We start from the raw sequence: 17,360 nt of genomic DNA, 5'->3' as shown, positions 1-17,360 counted from the left end.
CTTGGATGCATTCATTTTAGCATGACTTGAAATTATGTGTGAAGGAACCTGGCCCACGGAAGTTGCCCTGTAAATTCAGATTCACTTTCCCTTGGACATATGGATGACATTAGCTCATTACAGTTATGACCTCCCTAAAACTCCCAAATATTCTTTAAGTTCTTCTCTTATTTTCCCTTTAGTTTGTAGTCATATTTCTTAGTTCTTATATCAGTTGGGATTCCCACATCTTCTAGTTGGACAATATTGGAGAAGACACCACATTTTAACTGAGTTCCAGTGATATGACAGGCTTTCAATTCTCTAATCTCACAGAAGTTAGAAAAAAAGTAGATAATCAAAATCCACAGAAAATATAGAAGATTCCATTAACTCTGAGAATGATTCTCAGGTATCCTTAGGACCTCAAGAAAGCTGTTCTCTCCTGGGCCTGTAGAGAGTTCAAGTGCCAGGAATCTACCACAAAGTAGCCGGGAGGTGCAGGGCAGCAGGGGGCACAGTGAAGTGCTGAAGGGCTTCTCAGTCTTCTTTAATTAGAGTGAGAAGAAAAGAGCACCTCCTCATTTTAGAGTACATGGTGTGAACTCACTCTCAGCTGCCAAGTGAGCTTCACCTTGGGCTGTTTTGCATGCTTTCTCCTAGTGCTTTAAGCCACCCTGAGATGTACAGACCAATACTGGCCATCACAAAAATATACTCGAGTACATAGACCATTGACACTATAAAGCAAGTAAACAATGAAGTCTACATAACAGCCAAATAACAACATGATGATAGGATCAAATCTGCACATATCAATATTAACCTTGAATGTAAATGAGCTAAATGCCTCAATTAATAGGCAGAGAGTGGCAAGTTGGACAGAGAAGCAAGACCCAACTGTATGTCTTCAAGAGACCCATCTCATATGCAGGGACACCAATAGCCTCAAAGTAAGGGATGGAGAAAGATCTATCAAGCAAATGGAAAACAAAAAACAGCACTCTCTGTCCAACAAAAACAGAATATACATTCTTTTCAGCTGCACATGGTACATACTCTTAAAATCGACCACAATTGCTTTATTGGCCAGAAAGCAATTCTCAACAAATTCAAGAAACCTGAAATACCGGCCAGGTGTAGTGGCTCACACCTGTAATCCCAACACTTTGGAAGGCTGAGGTGGGCAAATCACTTGAGGTCAAGAGTTTGAGACCAGCCTGGCCAACATGGCAAAAACCCATCTCTTCTAAAAAATATAAAAATTAGCCGTGCATGGTGGCATGCGCCTGTAATCCCAGCTACTTCGGAGGTTGAGTCACGAGAATTGCTTGAACCTGGGAGGAGGAGGTTGCAGTGAGCTGAGATCACGCCATTGCACTCCAGTCTGGTTGACAGAGTGAGACTCATCTCAAAAAAACAAAAAAACCCTGAAATACCAACCACACTCTTGGACCACAGTGCCATAAAAATAAATACCAAGAAGATCTCTCAAAACCATATAATTAAGTGGAAATTAATCTACTCCTGAATGACTTGGGTAAACAAAGAGAAATTAAGGCAGAAATCAAGAAATTGTTTACAACTAATGAAAACAAAGATAAAAACATACCAGAATCTGGGACACAGCTAAAGCAGTGTTAAGGGAAAACTATAGTGCTAAATGCCCACATCAAAAAGATAGATCTCAACCTAACATCACATCTAGAGGAACTAAATAAACAAGAGCAAACCAACCCCAAAGCTAGCAGAAGAGAATACCCAAAATCAGAGCTGAACTGAACAAAATGGAGATGAGAAAAACCGTACAAAAAATCAAAGAAAGCAAAAGTTGGTTCTTTGAAAGAATAAATAAGGTTGATAGGCACTAACTAGACTAATAAAAAAAGGAGGGGGGAGATAATCTAAATAAACACAATCAGGAATGACAAAGGGGACGTTGTCACTGACCACACAAAAATACAAAAACCGCTTGGAGACTATTATGAACACCTCTGCACACAAACTAGAAAACCTAGAAGAATGGATAAATTCCTGGGAACATACAACCTCCCAAGATTGAACCAGAAATTGAAACCCCAAACAGACCAATAACAAGTTCCAAAATTGAATCAGTAATAAAAAGCCTACTAACCAGAAAAAGTCCTGGACCAGATGGATTCACAGCCAAATTCTACCAGACATATAAAGAAGAACTGGTATCATTCCTACCGAAACTATTCCAAAAAATTGAGAAAGAGGGACACCTCCCTAACTCAGTCTGTGAGACCAGCATCATTCTGATACCAGAACCTGGCAGAGACACAACAGAAAAAAAGAACTTCAGGCCAATATCCCTGATGAACATATATGCAAAAATCCTCCACAAAATACTACCAAATGAAATCCAGCAACACACCAAAAAGCTAACCCATTGTGATCAAGTAGGCTTTATCCCTGGAGTGCAGAGTTGGCTCAACTTACCCAAATCAATAAATGTGATTCATCACATAAAGAGAACTAAAAACAAAAACCACATGATACCTTAATAGATGCAGAAAAGGCTTTTGGTAAAATTAAACATTCATTCATGTTAAAAACCCTCAACAAACTAGGTTTGAAGTTATAGTCCTCAAAATAATAAAAGCTATCTCTGACAAACCCAAAGCCAACATAATACTGAATTGGCAAAAGCTAGAAGTATTCTCTTTAGGAACTGGAACAAGACAAGGATGCCCACTCTCACTACTCCTATTCAACATAGTACTGGAAGTTCTATTTGGAGCAGTCAAGTGAGAGAAAGAAAGAAAAGGCATCCAAATAGGAAGAGAGGAAGTCAAATTATCTCTCTTCATAGATAATGATTCTATACCTAGAAAACTCCATGGTCTCTTCCTGAGGGCTTCTAGATCTGAAAAAGAACTTCAGCAGAGTTTCAGGATACAAAATAAGTTTACAAAAATCAGTAGCATTTCTATACACCAATAACATCTAAACCGAGAACCAAGTGAAGAATGCAGTTTCATTCACAGTAGCCTCAAGAAGAATAAAATACCTAGGAATACAGCTAGCCAAAGAGGTAAACAATCTCTGCAATGAGAATTTTACAAGACACTGCCCAAAGAAATCAGATTACACCAATGGGAAAACATTCCATGCTCCTGGATAGGAAGAATTAATATTGTTGTTAAAACTGCCATACTAGTCAAAGCAATTTACAGATTCAGTGTCAAACTACCAATGACATTTTTCACAGAGTTAGGAAAAAAAATTCAAAAATTCATATGGAACCAAGAAGGAGCCCAAATAGCCAAAGCAATCCTAAGCAAAAAGAACAAAGCTGGAGGCATCACACTACCTGTCTTCAAATTATGAGGTTACAGTAACTAAGACAGCATGGCACTGGTACAAAAACAGACACATAGACTAATGGAGCAGATTAGAGAACTCAGAAATAAAGCCACATACCTAAAACCATCTGATCTTTGACAAAATTGACAATAACAAGCAATGGGGAAAGAACTCCCTATTCAATAAATGGTGCTGGGATAACTGGATAGCCATAGGCAGAAGAATGACACTGAACCCCTATCTTTCGCCATATATAAAAATCAACTCAAAGTGGATTAAAGACTTAAATGTAAAACCTAAAACTATGAAAATACTAGAAGAAAACCTAGGAAATACCATTTTGAGCATCAGCCCTGGCAAAGACTTCATGATGAAGACTCCAAAAGCAACTGCAACAAAACCAAAAATTGCCAAATAAGCCTTAATTAAACTAAAGAACTCCTGCACAGAAAATGGAACTGTCAACAGAGTAAACAGCCTACAGAATGGGAGAAAACATCTGCAAACTGTGCATCTGACAAAGGTTTAATAACCAGAATCTATAAGGAACTTAGTAAGCAAAAAAGAACCCCATTAAAAAATGGGCAAAGGACATGAACACTTTTCAAAAGAAACATAAGAAAAAAAATGCTTAATATCCCTAATTAGGGGAATGCAAATCAAAACCACAATGAGATACCATCTTACACCAGTCAGAAAGGCTATTATTAAAAAAGTCAAAAACTAACTGATGCTGATGAGGTTGCAGAAAAAAGAGAATGCTTATACACTGCAAATGGGAATGTAAATTAGTTCAGCCATTGTGGAAAGCAGTCTGGAAATTTCTCAGAGAACTTAAAACTACCGTTTAACCCAGCAATCCCTTTACTGGGTATATCCCCAAAGGAATATAAATAGTTCTACCTAAAGACACACGCACATGTATGTTCACTGCGGCACTATTCGCAATGGCAAAGATACGGAATCAACCTAGATGCCCAGGTTCGGTGGCTCACGCCTGTAATCCTAGCACTTTGGGAGACCGATTCGGGTGGAGTTCGGCGAGGTCAGGAGTTTGAGACCAGCCTGGCCAACATGGTGAAACCTTGTCTCTACTAAAAATACAAAAATTAGCTGGACATGGTGGCAGGTGCCTGTAATCCCAGCTACTCAAGGCAGGAGAATCGTTTGAACCTGGGAAGCAGAGGTTGCAGTGAGCCGAGATCGCGCCATTGCACTCCAGCCTAGGTGACAAGGCGAGACTCTGTCTCAAAAAAAAAAAAAAAAAAAAAAAAAAAAAAAAAGAAAATGTACATATACACCGTGGAATAGAATACTACACAACCACGAAGAATGACATAATGTCCTTTGCAGCAGCATGGATGGAGCTGGAGGCCATTCCTTAAGACAATTAATGCAGGAACAGAAAACCAAATACTGTATGTTGTCACTTTTAAATGGGAGCTAAACATCGAGTACACATGGACACAAGGGAGCAACAGACACCAGGACCTACTTGAGGGTGGAGGGTGAAAGGAGGGTGAAGACTTAAAAACTACCTTTTGGGTATTATGCTGATTACCTGGGCGACAAAATTATCTGTATACACAACCCCCACAACATTGTAATTTACCCATATAACGAACCTACACATGTACCCCTTGAACCTAAAATGGAAGTTGAATAGTGAAAAAAAATAAAAAAATATATTTTTAATCAGGGAGAAGGGGACTGGGCATTGTGGCTTCTACCTATAATCCCAGCACTTCAGGAGATTTGCGGCAGGAGGATTGCTTGAGGCCAGGAATTTGAGACCATCTTAGGGAACATAGTGAGACCCCATCTTTACAAAAATTTTAAACATTAGCAGGTATGGTGGCATGCGCCCATAGTCCCAGCTACTCAGGAAGATAAGGAGGGAGGATCATTTGAGCCAGGAGTTTGAGGCTGCAGTGAGCTGTGACCACGCCACTGCAGTCCAGCCTGGATGATACAGCAAAATCGTGTCGAATGAAAAAGAGGGATGGGGGCAAAAAATTTTGCCTTGAGCCGGCCCTGCCATTAGATGAACCCATTAAGAGCAATTTCTGTTTGGTAGACTCAGAGTTCACTGATGGATGCTGTCGTTGTTAGATCACTTTAAAAACTGTACAGTGTGGTCCAGCACAGAGCACAGTCTTTCAAATGAAAGAAAGCTGGATTTAAATTCTGACTGTGTCTCCTAGGGTGTAGCCTTGAACCAAGGACATTCCTTCAACTCTTGCTTTGATCATAAGTAAAATGAAGGATAATCAGTAATGTGAGTATACTGAAAAAAATGAAAGCACTGAGCATGGTGCTGGCATCCAAGAGAGGCTCAATAATTTTCTTTATTTTTATTTCATAGAATTCCTGACCTCAAAGAACATATCTATGAGTGATTTCTGATAGGGAAACATGTTGACCTTGTCCCAAATACCTAGTGCTTTCAAAAAATAGTAACATGTCTAACAGTCTATACAAATTCTTCTCTCTTGTCAGGTAGAAGTGAGAGCAAGAGTCGTAACAGCAAACACCCTTCTGACCTCTGAAATGCTTCAAACTTTAGATTACAAAGATTTTGTTGTCACGGACCGGGACACAGCTGGGGGTGTTGGAAACCACACCCACTTCTGCCTGAGGGAAAGACAGGATAGTAGCTAGGTGACCACTAGATACCCTCTCTCAGAGTTGAAGGGTCCTTAAGCCTGAGAGGTCATTATTGTCATCATCTGTGCCCTGTAATGAGGTGTTAGTAGGGGTGATATGTATTTCTTCTGGACTGGGAATTTAACTGCTGGTTTATGTTCTTCCAGAGCTCCCTCTTTGCCCACTAGCAGGGCATTAGCTGGTGCTGAAGACAGTGGCTGCTTGGCGAGCCTGGATCTCCAAGTGACCCCCTCAGCAACTCCTGATGAACAGGTAGCATGTAAAAGAAATCTTTTTGGTTTATACCAGTGAGATACGGGAGTTGTATATCATTGCAGCATAATCTAGGCTATAGATGATGCAATACTGCTACATTAGGGTCTTTGATTTCTAGTCAGGCCCTATGCCTAGGATAGCTTACTGCTGGCACACTCTTCAGCCAGTCTCTCAGCTCTGCACAGCACCAGATATGCCAGGATTTTGGCCTTTGATTCAGAGCTCTTTTCTGGAATTTTCTTCATGACCAGAGAATACCTCTGTCTTGCTTTGCTGACAAGAGGTATTAATCTAGAAATGGCTATAGTTATAGTTCATACAGGAAATGTGTTGCAAAAAATTGAGCTAATCTAGAGAAGAGAAAATAAAAGATGGGAAGTCTTAGTTGCATTCAAATCCCTGGTTCCAGTTGTACCTGAGGTGCAGTTACATTATTGTTCCTTTAGTTTGCTAAATAAGATAATGAATCCCCATGTTGACAAGGTTAAGTTAGATTTCTATAATTTTTCTAGGAATAACATAGTGTTTTTATTTGCCCAGATGTTATAGCTCACCTAAAAAAACCCTATCTATCCAGGGCTTTTGTTGCCTTTTTTTTTTTTTTTGAGACGGAGTCTCGTTCTGTTGCCCAGGCTGGAGTGCAGTGGCGTGATCTCAGCTCACCAGAACCTCAGCCTACGGGATTCAAGTGATTCTCCTGCCTCAGCCTCGCTGGTAGCTGGGACTACAGGCATGCACCACCACACCTGGCTAATTTTTGTATTTTTAGTAGAAATGGGGTTTCACTGTGTTGGCCAGGCTAGTCTCAAACTCCTGACCTCAGGTGATCTACCCGCGTAAGCCTCCCAAAGTGCTGGGATTACAGGCATGAACCACCATGCCTGGACTATTGCCATTTTCAGTGTTGTGTCCAGTGATGTTTCCTTCACACCAAGAAGTCTTCAGGGGATTCATATATGGATTGTGAAATCCTCTAGTGACATGGAAGTTTCTGTGTCATGCAGATAGAGAAATTGTGATGCCTGGATGCCTGAGGTTTTTTGGAGTGAGGTACTATGCATTTGCAAGTAATTGTAAACTGTATAATCCAGGATTAAAAGATAAACTATTGTTGCATTTAGAACTGTGTTTAGAATACAATAATTTGTTGTTGTTTTGTAATAGGACTGAAGCCAATATTAAAGCAAGTCAACCAAAGGTTCTCTGGTGTAGACAAGACAGCAAAAGGACAGACTACCTTGTGGAACCTAGCATTGTTCTCCTTCTGCAGCACTAAGTAACATTTGTTCTCCGTTAAGATCTTTGCAAACCACACACAAGAATTGCTGGTCATCCTGCCAATAGATGCTGCTCACAGAACCAAATTTCCTGTGCTGAATTGTCACTCATGGGCTTGAGAGTAGGAGACTGGAGACCAAGGTGGCTAGAATCCAGTTGGGCCTGATGTCTCCCTGTTGAAAGGGCTCCTTGTGGAATGAATAGCACATGGCTCCTGTGGTGGATCTGATAGTGGCATAGCACCAAGTGATGCAGGCCTGCCAGGGGCCACAGACACAGAAGATGCTCCCGGGGTCCCCCATGTACTCCAGACACACTGCAGGCCACCTCTCCCAGCAGGTTGCCAGTCATGGGCCCCATCATCATGACTTCTGTCCAAGGTGTGCTCGGAAATCTCTTCCTTAACTGTGACTTTCTGACAGGTGGAGGATGTGGTCAGGAGTGGGAAAAGGATTCGAGACGGGAAGAGGGAGGGGTTCAGGATGAAGAGAGATAATCTGTGCCACAGATGCTGGCCCTGCAGTTAGCTCCCACCTAGTCCGTGCACACACATTCTAATCCCCTCCCATTCCTTTACATGCTGCGGCCAGAGAGGCCTTTCTCAAAGTGGAAGTCTCATCCTCACTTCTCTGGTTACAGTGCTGGGCCATGGTAACTTACAAGGCTTAGCAGGAACTGTCTGCGCACTCCCCCTTCCTGCCCACTACCTTGTTTCCCTCCAGTTGCGAGAGAAAACATTGATTGAGCATTAACTATGTGCCAGGCTTGTCCTAAGTCCTTTGCATGTATTCACTCAAACAATCCTCACAACATTCCTATCACATCTCCCATTTCACAGTGAGGGTTCTAAAGCACGTAGTGGGTGAGGAACTTGTCCAGGGTCACACAACTAAGTGGGGGTGGAGAAACATCAAATCTAGGTGGTCCAGGTGGTGGCCAGAACCCATCAGCACCTCACTACAGCTGCCTCCAGTTTCTCGCTCTAGGAAATACTCTTCCCTGTCAACTCCTGTTGTCCTCTGGGCTCAGTTGACATGTCATCTCCTTGAGGAGGACATCCTGAGATGCTCCCCGACTAGGGTGGGCACCCACTTCCACACTCCAAATGCCTATTTGACCTGTGTATCGCTGCATCCCCACTGCCTGGCAGATAGCAGGCCCCTAATAAATATGATTTGAGCAAATAAATATAGTTCTTCAAAAAATAGGGAGGACTTCTTGCTTCAGGTAATGGTAGGCTAGGACATTTGGACCAACCCTCCTGCAGAAAATAGCCATTTATTTTGATGCAATATATCTGGCTATGACTAGAGATTTCAAATATTTGGAGGGCTATTATGTGAAGAACTAAACTTACTCTTTGTGACATAGAGGTCAGAAATTGGTCGTTTCCATAGAGTATGAGAGAGACAGAATTGTGCTCATCATAAGTATCTTTTTTAAAAGTTAGACTTAATAAAATGGGCTGCCTTGGTAGGTGGTGAGTTCTCTGTCACGAAAGAGATTCAGCCACTTGCTCTGAGAAAGCATGGAGAATATCAACATTGTAAGGGTCGACCACCTCATCTCTGAGGCCCCCTCCTCACTTAGGTTGCCATTGCAGGTGGAACACTGGGCTGAGTGTCAAAGAACCTGGGTTCCACAAGCTGTGCGACCATGGCTGGTTGTTTTGGATCTCATTCCTAATATCTGTTAGTTAAGCTGACCCGTCAATACTGACCCACTTCACAGAGTTATGAAGGGATTAAATTAGGTATTACATGTAAATCTGTTTTGTTTGCTTTTTGTTGTTCTTTTTTGTTTTGCTTTTTTCTTTGCATTATGAAATCCCAAGTCAACTTTTTCCATTCTTTTATTTTTTTAAAAATTGACATCATCATTATAACCACAAAATAATTTTTAAAATGGAAAAAAAAAACTCACCTGCAACCCCACAATCTAATACAATAATCATACTTTTTTCCCTTTATTCTCCTTTATTGTGACCAAGGATGACTTTGGGCATTGCTGTGAGGAACTATTTCGTTTAACACCCTACTACCTGAACATGATGCGTACTCAGCCTTTCACCACCCCCCAAGTAGCTACACATGATGTGATAATAGTATTGGTGGTGGTTTTAGAGAGTTGGAGAGAAAACTGAAGTTGGATTTGGGTAAAAGAAAAAAGAGTGGGAATTATTTTTTCTCCATTCTAAAGCCCATAAAGCAATGTTAATTGTTCCCACCCCTCTGCTATTCTGTCTCCTCAGGTACTGTGTGCAGAAATGTGATTGAGATTCAAGTCAGGGCCTCTCTGCCCTTTTCCCTCCAGAAACAAAACCAAGATAATTTATCCTGAACACGGTGAAAAAAGGAAGGGAGGGAGGAGAAAAAGTCCGGGTCTCACCTGGGATTCTCTGTCTCCTGCAACATGAAGGATTTAGCCTGGGAGGAGGTGGTGAGAACTCTGGGAGAGAAAAAAGAAGGAAAGAATAGTTTTACCCATGCTGAAGTTAATTTAAACCTTCACCTAGAGAAGCAAAAAAAAAAAACCCACACTTTCCCATTTTGTGCCTCCCTTCCTAGAGTTTTAGCCAAAGGTTTAGCTAAGTAATTGGTTTTACCAGCGCACTCACTCCTCCTATCCCAAGTCTGTTTGACTCCCTCCCCATCATCCTCCTCACCTCTTTTCAGGCAGGGTGGGGATAGCAGCAGGAGGAGATTTTGGGAGCCTGGCAACTCCTGCAAGGACCGCAGGACAGCCCCTCTGTGGGGATGCGTGGTGCCCCATCTGCCGCCCTTCTGAAGAATGCACTGCCTTCACTTTTTACTGTGTTAGAGTCCATCCAGACTGTTCTATCCAAAAAAGTTTCTTTTTCCCCCACAGGCAATCAGGAAATGATTCCTTTCCCGACTGCTTCTGTCTAGTGCCTGGGAATCTTGAGTCAATCCCTCAGTAAGTCAGTGACTAGGGAAATCCCTCTCTGAGCCTCCCAGTTCATGTTGCTTAGGGAACCTGATATTTTCGTGAAACCTGCCTACACATGGGCAGCCCAACAGCAGAACAAATGGTGGTGACCAAAGTGAACAAAGAAGTATAGTTGTGCCAGCTTCGTAGTTGCCCATGTGGACAAGTCAGCAGGATCAGGACACGAGGAAGAGTAAATGTGAGACAGTCAATGTGACTTCTGCGATAAACAGATTTTTAAACCCCGAAATTTTGCAAAATTTTGGTGAAACCTGAACTTTCTTCGTTGCATATACTGGCACTATCTGTACCATCATACAACTGTCTCACATTAAAGCTATTTTTCTTGGGCACTGATGAGTAAGGTTGGTATAAGTTCCTCAGATCAACAAAAACCCATTTTCCTGTAAGTCTTACATTTAGTATTTAAGGAACTAAAACTTAAATACATTTTGTGAAATGGTTGACACTTCACTGATAATGATTTATTGCTTGGATTAATAAATTTTCCAAAAGTTGTCTTATGTAGAATATGGTTTGCAACCAGCAGAACCATTAATCTATACTGCAATGATATGCACTATGTATAATTGTTTAAAAGCCTCTACTTAATGATGTAAAATGCTCTATTTAATTACACATTTGGGTAAACTGTATACTAACATCTGATGGCATTTTTCCACTGTTTGTTGCTTTTTTCAAATACTTTATTGTACAAAGCTGTTCTTAATATTTTTCAAGTTTTTTTCTTTGAATTTTGCTAATGTTTTCCTTGAATTATGAGCACTGACAGAATGTGCTTAGCACTTTTGGCTATTCACACAGCTTTTGAGCATGATTTGCATCCAATATTTACATTGCTAGCAATAATAAGCCATCTGTGAGTTTTGTCAAAAGTTATTGGGGATTTTTTAAATTTTAGAAATGCAAATTATTGTTTCTTTGAACTAACTCTTATGCAGTTGCAAAGGCATTTCCAGTTGTTATAGTTTGTGTACAATATCAGGTGTTCCAGATTATGATTCATTATTAATATCATTGCTTCCTTGTTCCCTCTGAGGTCCAGAAGATTCATGTTTACAATATTTAGAAACAATGTTAAAAAGGTATCCAAAGTTTGTCACTTTATTATTAGTTTGTTCTTAATATTCTGTTTAAGTTTTTGAATTCATAGATATCAAAACGCTGCACAATTATGATTTCCACAGGAATAACAACACACTAACAATAAGAACCAAAAACAGCAAATAGGCTGCCTACAAGTTTTGACAATATTAGGATAATGATAATGACAGTTTTTCTAAATCTCACAGTAAAGAATGCAGCAACCCAGCAACACTGCTACCTGTGGCCTCAGGCTGCAGTGTCAGCTCTTCCCTGGGTCTCCAGCCTGCCAGTCTAACCTGAAAATTATGTACTTGCCAGCCCCCACAGTCACGTGAGTGAACTGGCCCAGGCTGGTCACCAGGGTCAGTTTCTCTGTGTGTCATTAATTCATTCAGTCTTCAGCAGTCTCTTTGGAGCTGAGATGTACCTACCATCTGCCTTTTGGGTGCTTAGGGTGGAGAACCAGAAAAGTATAACCTAGTGTGTATCCTCAAAGAGCTAACAATATGGGGTGGTACCTATAGGTCTGGAAACACTTTACTGACTCTGTGAGGCATACCAGGAGACGTCAGAGAACAGTCCCTCCTCAAATGCCAAATGAGATGCAGAAGAAATAGTTTGCTCAAGTTCATGGGCCAGATATCCCAGTGGTCAGGGAGTTTCATGAATGAGATGGAACTTTGCATGGAACCCGAGGGATGTGTATGATTTGAGTAGATGAAGAAAATGAGACTTTCCAAGCAGCTAGAAGTTAGGGAGCAGCAAGATGTGTGGTGGGATTGAGCACAGTTGGTTCAGAGGATAGACTGCAGTTTTAATAATTTGTAGTAAATATCTCCCAACTGTTTGGCACTATTGGAGCAAGTTCTTGAATGCCAAATGAAGGCATAAATCAGTAAGAGGCATAATAAAAGGCTGAGCAGTGCTTGGCTTTTTACGAACTGATCCTGATAGGAGCAGCTGTTCAACAAAGTTGCCAGGTCACCGTTACATAGTCCCTGCCTTCTAGGGGCTCACTGCCTACTGGGAGAGACAGTCTGAAAGTTGGTGGAGCATGTAACTGTTGGATGAGGAGTTTGAGCCTGTGGACTGTGGGACCCCCGAGGAGGGTGTGGCTACTCTAGGCAGAACAATCCCACAGTTTATTTATATTTAACCTTGAAATTCATTAGAGGATTTTTCAGCAGAGGTTTGGTACTTGTTAATGTTAAGGTTTGCATTCTCTAGAACCTCAAGGAAAGCTGTACCGTGCATAATGTACCCTCTTATGTTAATGTTGTGTACTGTGATCCTGTTTCAGGGACTTGCACTTAGGAATCTGTTACAGTGAGCACAGAAGCAGACCTGTGGGCTCATAGTCTTCACCCCCCACCCATATATACAAGATGAACAGAGTGGAGGTTAAACAACTTGACTAAACAACACAGTTCATGGTAAAGCCCAAGACTGTACCTGCCCATCCACTGCCTTTTCCATGTATCCTGGAACTGAGCATAGACCTCTTCCCAGGCAGAGCTGACAGCAAGTAAAGGAGATCATAATCAGGGGACCAAACAACTTTGTCTAAAGTGTGAATGTCACCTAAGGAGAAGCTGTGAGATCAGAAGGGTGGGGCAGAGGAGCAGACACCATGAGGGAGAGTCCTTGGGGGTACATCTGCCAGACTGACACTGTCTGGCCTGGGCAGTGGAGGGGCTAGCAGGAACCACAGGTACTGGTGGTGTGGCTACTACCGTTACAACTGCCTGTGCTTGGACATGGACCCTCTGCAATATGCGGCAGTTTCATTCATTGCCCCCTACATTCTACACCAAGTAGAAATGGAAGGCAATTGGATACTTCACAGACAAGATCTAAGTGGAGAAGGAATGCGTCCTGTGGCTGCAGAGATCCTTGGAGCTTGGAGGGGAGAGCTTGAGCCCCACTGATGATGACCTCCCACAGCTCGCCAACTCAGCCCTCCCTAAGTCCCCATCGGGGGCCAATTCTCACTCTGGGGTTGGGGGGACTCCACCATAGCTCATCCATCATAGGGATGTTGGTATCTACTGTGGGTTGGGTAGGGCCGATGTGCTGAGGATGGCTCCCCCACAAGCAAGAGATGTGGATTTGGGGAGCTTCCCATCTTGTGTTGAAGGAACATAACTCAGAATAATAAGAGCCAACTATAACAAACCCACAGCCAACATCATACTGAATGGGCAAAAGCTGCAGGCATTCCCCTTGAAAAGTGGCACAGGATAAGGAAGCCCTTTCTCACCACTCCTATTCAATATAGTGTTGAAAGTCCTGATCACAGCAGTCAGGCAACAGAAATAATAAAGGGCATCCAAATAGGAAGAGAGGAAGTCAAACTATCCTTGTTTGCAGACAGTATGATTCTATATCTAGAAAACCCCATAGCCTCAGCCCAAAAGGTCCTTCATCTGATAATTTCAGCAAAGTTTCAGGAGACAAAATCAGTGTACAAAAATCACTAACATTCCTATACACAGTCGCCAAGCCAAGAGCCAAATCAGGAGCACAATCCCATTCATAATTGCCACAAAAAAGAATAAAATACCCAGGAATGCAGCTAACCAAGGAAGTAAAGGATCTCTACAATGAGAATCACAAACGCTGCTCAAAGAAATCAGAGATGACACAAACAAATGGAAAAACTTTCCATGCTCATGGCTAGGAAGAATCAATATCATTAAAGTGGCCATACTACCCAAAGCAATTTATAGATTCAATGCTATTCCTATCAAACTATCAATTACATTTTTCACAGAACTAGAAAAAACTTAAAATTCATATGGAACCAAAAAGCCTGAGTAGTCAAGGCAATCCTAAACAAAAAGAACAAAGGTGGAGGCATCACATTACCTAACTTCAAACTACAGGGCTACCATGACCAAAACAGCATGGTACTGGTACAAAAGCAGACACACAGACCAGTGGGACAGAATAGAGAGCCCAAAAATAAGGCCACAAACCTACAGCCATCTGATCTTCAACAAAGTTGACAAAAACAAGCAATGGGGAAAGGTCTCCCTATTCAATAAATGGTGCTGGGATAACTGGCTGGCCATATGCAGAAGATCGTAACTGGACCCCTTTTACTATGTACAAAAATTAAGATGGTTTAAAGAGTTAAAACCCAAAATTATAAAAATCCTGAAGATAACTTAGGCAATACCATTCTGGACATAGGAACTGGCAAATATTTCATGATGAAGACACCAAAAGCAATTGTAACAAAAGCAAAAATGGACAAATTGGATTTAAGAGCTTTTTCATAGCAAAATAAACAACAGGGCAGACAATCTACCAAATGACAGAAAATTTTTGCAAACTATGCATCTGACAAGGGGCTAATATCTAGCATCTATAAGGAATTTAAACACAGTTACAGGAAAAAAAAAACCCACTCCATTAAAAAATGGGCAAAGGACATGAACAGACACTTTTCAAAAAAGACATACATACAGCCAACTAGCGTGTTAAAGAAAACCTCAATTATCACTGATCATTAGAGAAATGCAAAATCAAAACCATGATGAGATATCATCTGCCAGTCAGGATGGCTACAAAAAAGTAAAAAAATAATAGATGTTGGTGAGGTTATGGAGAAAAGGAACTTATACACTTGTTAGGAGTGTAAATTAGTTCAATCACTGTGGACAGCAGTGTGGTGATTCCTCAGAGAGCTAAAAACAACTACCATTTGACTCACCAATCCCATTACTGGATATTTACCTAAAGGAATATAAATCATTCCACCATAAAGACACATGCAAGTGTATGTTCATTGCAGCACTATTAACAGTAACAAAGCTGGGCACAGTGGCTCACCTCACGACTGTAATCCCAGCACTTTGGGAGGCTGAGGTAGGCGGATCACCTGAGGTCGGCAGTTTGAGACCAGCCTGACCAACATGGAGAGACCCCATCTCTACTAAAAATACAAAATTAGCCAGGTGTGGTGGCTCATGCCTGTAATCCCAGCTACTTGGGAGGCCAAGGCAGGAGAATTGCTTGAACCCAGGAGGCAGAGGTTGCAGTGAGCCGAGATCACACCATTGCACTCTAGCCTGGTGAAGGAGCAAGACTCCATCTCAAAAAAAAAAAAAAAAAAGAAAGAAAGAAAAATACACATTCAGAGGAGACAAAAAATAAAAAACAATGATGCATGCCCACAGGATCTAGAAAATAACTTCTTAAGGGCAAATCTAGGAGTTATTGGCCTTAAAGAAGAGATAGAGAAAGAGATAGGAATAGAAAGTTTGTTGAAAGGGATAATAACATAGAACTTCCTAAACCTACAGAAAGATATTTATATCCAAGTACAAGAAGGTTATAGAACACCAGGCCAATTTAACCCAAAGATTACCTCAAGGCATTTAATAATCAAACTCCCACAGGACAAGGGTAAAGAAAGGATCCTAAAAGCAGCAAGAGAAAAGAAACAGATAACATACAATGGAGCTCCAATACATCTGGCAGTATATTTTTCAGTGGAAACCTTACAAGCCAGGAGAGAGTGACATGACATATGTTAAAGTGCTGAAGGGAAAAAACCTTTTACCCTAGAATAGTATATCCAGCAAAAATATCCTTCAAACATGAAGAATAAACAAAGACTTCCCCAGACAAACAAAAGCTGAGGGATTTCATCAACACTAGACTGGTCCCATAAGAAACGCTTAAGGGAGTACTTTGGTCAGAAAGAAACAGACATTAATGAGCAACAAAGAATCATCTAAAGGTAAAAAACTCACTGTTAAGAGTAAGTACACAGAAAAACCCAAAGTGTGATAACATTGTAACTGTGGTGTGTAAGTAGAAAGAATAAATGATAAACCAATCAAAAATAGTAACTACAACTTTTCAAGACCAGTCAGAAAAATAAGATAAAATTAGAAACAACAAAAAGTTAAAAAGTGGGGGGATGAAGTTAAGATGTAGAGTTTTTATTAGTTTTTTGTTTGTTAATGCAAACAGTGTTACCAGGTTAAAATAATGGGTTACAAAATAGTATTTGTAATCCTTATGGTAACCTCAAACCTAAAAACATACACTGGATACATAAAAAATAAAAAGCAAAAACCTAAATCATATCACCAGAGCAAACTACCTTCCCTAAAGGAAGACAGGAAGAAAAGAAAGAAGAAGACCACAAAACAACCAGAAAACAAATAAATAACAAGGCAGGAGTAAGTCTTTACTTATCGATAATACATTGAATGGAAATATGGACTAAACTCTCCAATCAAAAGACATAGACTGGCTGAATGAATGGAGAAAACAAGACCCATTGATCTGTTGCCTACAAGAAACACACTTAAACTATAAAGACACACATAGGCTGAAAGTAAAGAGTTGGAAAGAGTTATTCCATGCCAATGGAAACCAGGAAAAAGAGAAGGAGTATTGATTTTGATACAAAAACTATGAGACAAATAAAGTCACTATACAATGATAAAGGGGTTAATATGGTTTCCATTTGTGCCCCACCCAAATTTCGTGTTCTATTGTAATCCTCAATGTTGGAGGTGGGGCCTGGTGGGACGTGATTAGATCATGGGGGTGGATCTTTCATGACTAATTCAGCACCATCTTCTTAGTGCTGTTCTCATGATAGTGAGTTCTTCTGAAATCTGGTTGCTTAAAAGTGTGTAGCACCTCTCCACACCACCCGCTTGCCTTGGTCTACTCCTGCTATGTAGATGCTTGCTCCCACTTTGCATTATTCCATGAGTAAAAGCTCCCTCAGGCCTTCCCAGAATCAGATGCCGCTATGCTTCCTGAAC

At 41.0% G+C, this 17,360-nt stretch overlaps 2 long non-coding RNA genes across 5 annotated transcripts in view; both read left to right on the top strand.

Moving 5' to 3' along the window:
* The window catches only part of HCG18 (HLA complex group 18), a 39,760-nt gene extending 24,797 nt beyond the window's left edge, over nt 1–14,963 (top strand). For 2 of the 4 annotated variants that reach the window (NR_024053.2, NR_024052.2), the window contains 3 exons: nt 6,123–6,228; nt 7,396–7,889; nt 9,761–14,963. This is a non-coding gene — a long non-coding RNA (HLA complex group 18). Of the gene's footprint in view, nt 1–6,122; nt 6,229–7,395 lie in introns of all 4 variants that reach the window. The other 2 variants (NR_102326.1, NR_102327.1) reach the window with 2 other exon arrangements.
* HCG17 (HLA complex group 17) overlaps nt 1–17,360 on the top strand; it is a 92,096-nt gene that overhangs the window by 23,775 nt on the left and 50,961 nt on the right.

Source organism: Homo sapiens, chromosome 6, assembly GCF_000001405.40.
Source record: "Homo sapiens chromosome 6, GRCh38.p14 Primary Assembly".
Lineage (NCBI taxonomy): Eukaryota > Metazoa > Chordata > Mammalia > Primates > Hominidae > Homo > Homo sapiens.
The sequence above is the reverse complement of the archived record's forward strand: the minus strand, read 5'-3'. Positions and strand labels throughout refer to the sequence as shown.